The sequence below is a fragment of the Homo sapiens genome, chromosome 6 (genome assembly GCF_000001405.40).
Source record: "Homo sapiens chromosome 6, GRCh38.p14 Primary Assembly".
Lineage (NCBI taxonomy): Eukaryota > Metazoa > Chordata > Mammalia > Primates > Hominidae > Homo > Homo sapiens.
Window position 1 is genome coordinate 113,194,770 of NC_000006.12, and position 5,359 is coordinate 113,200,128.

At 33.0% G+C, this 5,359-nt stretch overlaps 1 long non-coding RNA gene across 1 annotated transcript in view; it reads left to right on the plus strand.

Annotated features, from left to right (window-relative positions):
- Nucleotides 1-2,771, plus strand: part of LOC105377953 (uncharacterized) — a 29,486-nt gene extending 26,715 nt beyond the window's left edge. The window contains exon 6 of the long non-coding RNA XR_942891.2: nt 2,532-2,771. This is a non-coding gene — a long non-coding RNA (uncharacterized LOC105377953). The remainder of the gene's footprint in view (nt 1-2,531) is intronic.
- Nucleotides 2,772-5,359: the final 2,588 nt, after the last annotated feature.

The following is a 5,359-nucleotide window of genomic DNA, read 5'->3' on the forward strand; positions in this document are numbered from 1 at the left end:
ATCAGATAAATTCCAACAGAGGGGCATGCGACATGACTCCTCAAAAATGTCCAGGTCATCAAAGACAGTGTTTGAAAACTGCCACAGCCAAAAGAAACCTAGGGAGACAAGACAATGAAATGCAATGTGGTATCTTGGATGGGATCCTAGAACAGAAAAACAACATTAGATAAAACTAAGACAATCTAAATAAGTTTGGACTTTAGTTAATAATGATATCAGTATTGGTTCATTAATTGTGACAAATGTACCACACTTATGTAAATGTTAATAAGGGGAAACTGGATGTGGGTTGTATGAGAACCCTCTGAATTGTCTTCACAATTTTTCTGTAAGTCTAATACTTTTCTGAAAGTAAAAGGGTTTTTTTAAACGTTTATTCTAATTTATCTAGATCATCATCTTAGAACAAAGTTTTACCACAAGACTTGGTATACACACTTCTGTATTTCTTACAGTCATGTTTATGCCAAGTGATTATAAGCATATTTAATTTGGGGTCAATATATCTGGGAACCAGTAGCAAGTCTGAGCTAAATTATTGTTTTTATATTGAATTATTTTACTAGAAATAAATATGAAACGTATCTACTACATGAATAATTCACATGTGACAGTTCCATGATATAAAAATTTAATTTCTGAATTTTTTAAATAAAGTAAAGCTTAAATTCTACATGGTGAAATAACAATGTGTGCAAACACAATACATTGCCTTCATCCTTTTAAACTACAGAGAATAGAACAGTAGCGTAATCCAAAACTGAAATATTCAAGTCAAGTAAAGGCTTAATGGTAAATAATAGCTTCATGAGGATTTGAAATTTTAAATGCAAAATAAGAGGATTCATTTCTAATAAATTGCAATTTCCTTCAACAGTCCAGTGATGTACTTTGTTGAAAATATAATTTTTTTCCTACTTCGCAAGAGTTGAAGTCAACTTCAGATACAATTTTCCAGTTTCTGATTCCAGAAATAATTGGATTACATACCAATTTAATATAAATTTCAATGTCATATATGCTAATTTTATCTTGAAATGAAGATATTTAAACAACATTAGGATTTTGTTTGTGGAGGAATGACAGATTATGCTGAATTTGAATTTATTGCTATTTGGATACTATTGTAATGCCAACAGTCATATTCTGAATTTGCTTGATTAAAGCCAATGGATAGTAATAAAGACAAAAATGGATCCAAAGCACTACCTCATTATAATTAGAAGTTGTTTATGTTTACTTATTATTTTGTATTTAATTTATAGATTAGTTTTTGATTGCACTGTTGTATAGAAACTATAATCATAGTAAATTTATACCAAATTTTATTTGTTATTATTTATTTATTTATTTATTTATTTATTTATTATTATCACTTTTTTTTTTTTTTTTTTAGATAGAGTCTCACTTATTGCCCCAGCTGGAGTGCTGTGGTGAGATATCGGCTGACTGTAACCTCTGCCTCCCGATTCAAGTGATTCTCATGACTTGGCTTCCCCAGTAGCTGGGATTACTAGTGTGTGCCTCCACACCCAGCTAATTTTTGTACTTTTAGTAAAGCTGGGGTTTCACCATGTTGGCCAAGTTGGTCTCGAACTCCTGACCTCAAGTGATCCTCCTGCCTAGGCTTCCCAAAGTGCTGGGATTACAGGCATGAGCCGCCGCGCCTGGCCCCAAATTTTATATGTCATATATGCATGTCACATTCTAATAAAACAACACTATAGGTCTAGAAGATTGTTTCTTTGAGATAAGCCAACGCATTACTCAAGTTTCAGAAATACTGCATACAGGGCTCATAAAATTCTCCCAATAGCAAGCCACCATTGAAGAACATCGTTGTTATTTTGAAGCAAATCGATATTAGATTCCACCTGTTGGCCTTTTGTTTCCACAATTAATGCTAATATGAAATGATCTTCTAAAACATGCATTATTCAGGTAGAAAAGTCACCAGGTATAAATAAATCTATTATCAATAGTGACATCTAGTAAACTGCCACATTTAAAGAATATGGTGGCACAATGAAGAGATAAAATGAACAGTTTACAAGAAAGAAAGAATGAGAGCATTGAAGCCAAATTTTCAAAGAAAACAGCAAAAAGAAAGATTTTTTTTAACTAAAAGGGAGCGGAAATAGAAGTAGCGCTCAATATAGCTTCATTAATGCGTACTTTACCAGCTCTTTATCCTGGGATATCTCTTCTTATAAAATCAGACAAAAGTGCTCTCTTTTCACAGGGATTGAAAAGTAAAGGAAACTGAGTCTGCATATCAGGGAGATAGGTTAAAAGTTAATACAATGGTTGATCTATTTTTATTATACAAAGCAACATATGTGACTACTTTGTTTAATATACAATTAATATTTTTTCCACTAAACCAAACTATGCTTTTTAAGTCTTAGATGCAGATTTGGCACTAAGAAAATCCTGGGAGGTGTGGTGTTAGTGCTTATGTTGTGCCAGAAGCCAGTTTATTCAGAAAAATAAACTCTCGTTTTCTATTTCTTTGGCTTCTCTTCCAGGTTTTGGCAGAAATGTGAATATAAGCAAGCATACTATGAGATACATGATCCAGTCACTGTAACCTTCTTTGGAACTAGTATTGATCCAGCAGCAGCTTTCAGTACTGATCCTAAAAACAAATAATATGATCGGATCAGATCATCACAAAGGGAGCAGGAATTTGAAGGATGTATCTGGGTTATTCAAACCGAAAACACCTAACTCCAGTTCATTAAAAATCATTTCATATTTGTATAAAAATAATTTTTAAAAGAGTCTAGATGTAGTTATAATTTTAAAAGTAGTCATATTTCTAGAACCTTCTTTAAATTCTTGTTATTTGAATATGAAATTATTGTAAATCCATTGAATAAATAACTATATTCATATAAAATTTCAAACTAATACATACATTAGAAGTAAGTATATTTATTTCTCATTGAGATGAAATATTTTTGTCCCACAATATTAGATTTGTATATGTGTTTGTGTGTTTGTGTATTTTAAGTAATTAAACTTTGAGTTTCATTTTAAAACTGTGAGAGTATTTTATTACATAAAAAATTTTCAGACCGAATGGAATCTAGATATGGAAAGCCTATCTCTCTCATATCTAAAAATTCTGATCTATTTTAGCAGTTTTATGTGGTTACATATAGAATGAACCCACAGCATCTAGATATTTTTCCAAATCTGACAAAAATTTTAGTTACATCTAGACAAATATTTAGACCTCTCGAGTCTATAATATTGCGTGAAAGAAACCCAGTATAGAATTTTATTTTCTTTATTTTGGGTAATATTGTATTTAAGATGACACACATGACTAGATGAAAATGTTCATCTCTATAAAAAAGAGAAATTATGCATTTTGTTCATCAATTTGTGCTCTCTGCAGTCCAATTAAAAGTGTCATTTTGACTCTATAGCTTGAATAGATCAATCCCCAGTTTCTTCCCAAGTTCAGGCCTTTCCTGCAGCCACTCATCTTTTGCACTGCATTCATATTTTTTCTTCCTAAAACAACAAAATAATTTCAAAAGGTAAACAAAGACTTCCTTGTCAATAAACACGAGACATATTTACCTGCCTTTCCTTTCTTGACATCACAGAAGATTTAAAATACCTCTTTCCTTCCTGAACCGCAGGTTTCTTCTGCCTCTCCAAGCCTGATGCTCTCCTGTCTTTCTCCTGAGATTCTGGCTTCATTTTCTTTGCTCCTCTTGCAGAGTTCTTTCTTTACAGAGAAGCCATTGCTTGAAATTCCTCAAGGCAATCTACTCAGCCTAGACTCTCTTCTTAGGAGTTCTCACTTATACTTTAATTACCACACTGATACAGACAATTTATAAATGTATGTCTCCATCCTAACTTCATCTCTGATCTTCAGACCAGAGTATCCAACTACCCCTCTTAGATGACTCAGAGGTACCTTCAAGTGAGAATGTCCCAGATTATACTGAGATGGCTTTACAACATAGTTGTAAATTCTTTGAAATTCTTTCCATTGAGAGGTGGGGTTTCTGTACCCTCTCTTCGAATCTGTGTGAGCTTGTGATTGTTTCAACCAATAGTACAGTGGAAGTGAAGGTTTGTGATTTCTGAGACTAGATATAGAATAATGTCAACCTTATTTGTTGGAATGCTTACGGAAAGCTGCCATGAGAGAACTTCAACAATGCTAAGGCTGCCATGAGGAAGCCCAACCTACATGTAGAGGCTGTGTATAGTCATCCCAGTAGACAACCCCAGCTAGGCCTAAGCTTTTTAGTCATTCCATGCCAGCCTTTAAACATGAGAATGAAGAAGCCTTCAGATACTCACATCTGAAGCCATCCAAGCCATTTCCAGCCATTTGATTTTCTTCAGGTGATATTCCAGATACCATGAAACAGTGACAAGCCATCCCCATGAAGTCCTGTCTAAATTCTTGACCCATTGATAAATTGATAATGCAACAACCAATTGCAATCTGGTCTTCTTTCAATATCTCCCTCTATTTCAACTCCATCATCAACTCCTCCTGCAGATTTCATTCCTTAAGTATTTATTGAATCCGTGAACTTCTATCTCCATCAACACTTTTATCCAAATTATCATGATCTGTGGCCTAAATTGTAGCATTGGCATTCCTATTTATCAACATTCTCCACACTGCTGGTGAGTAATCTTTTCACATTTTAAATCTCTTCATGTTACCCCATGCTTAATACTCTTCTGTGGTGCCCACTGATCTTGGAATAAAGACAAAATCCTTTATGAGGTTTATATGACCTGAATGATCTGGCAGTAGTCTCATTCCCCCACTCTGCACTGCTCAGTGGGGTAACTGCCAGTCTTACCTGTGACTGTTGATCAACTGAAATGTGATTGGTGTGACTGAGGAACTGAATTTTTTATTTTATTCAATTTTAATTAATTATAACTTAAATTTTAAAAATGAATACTCAATTCAGTTTATTGAAAAACTTTTAAGTGTGTTTGGAACAACTTGGCTGTATGAATTTACTTTTTTAATCATGAATGTTATGAAATTTAAATACAGATCAAGTATTCCCAATGAAAATGTAATATCTGAATGGACATGTGTTGAAAGCTTAACATGCACACTGGATTTCAAACAGTATAAGAAAAAGAAGGTAAAGTATGAAATTAATAATATTTATATTGAGTATATGTTGCAATGACAATATTTTGGATATATGGGGTTAAATAAAATACTTAATAAAAATTAATTCACCTGTTTCTGTTTACTTTTTAAAATGTGGCTACTAGAAAAAAAAATTGATGTGTGGTTCTCATAGTATTTTTATTGAGCAGCATTGCTTTAGATCTGCTTTCTCCAGAT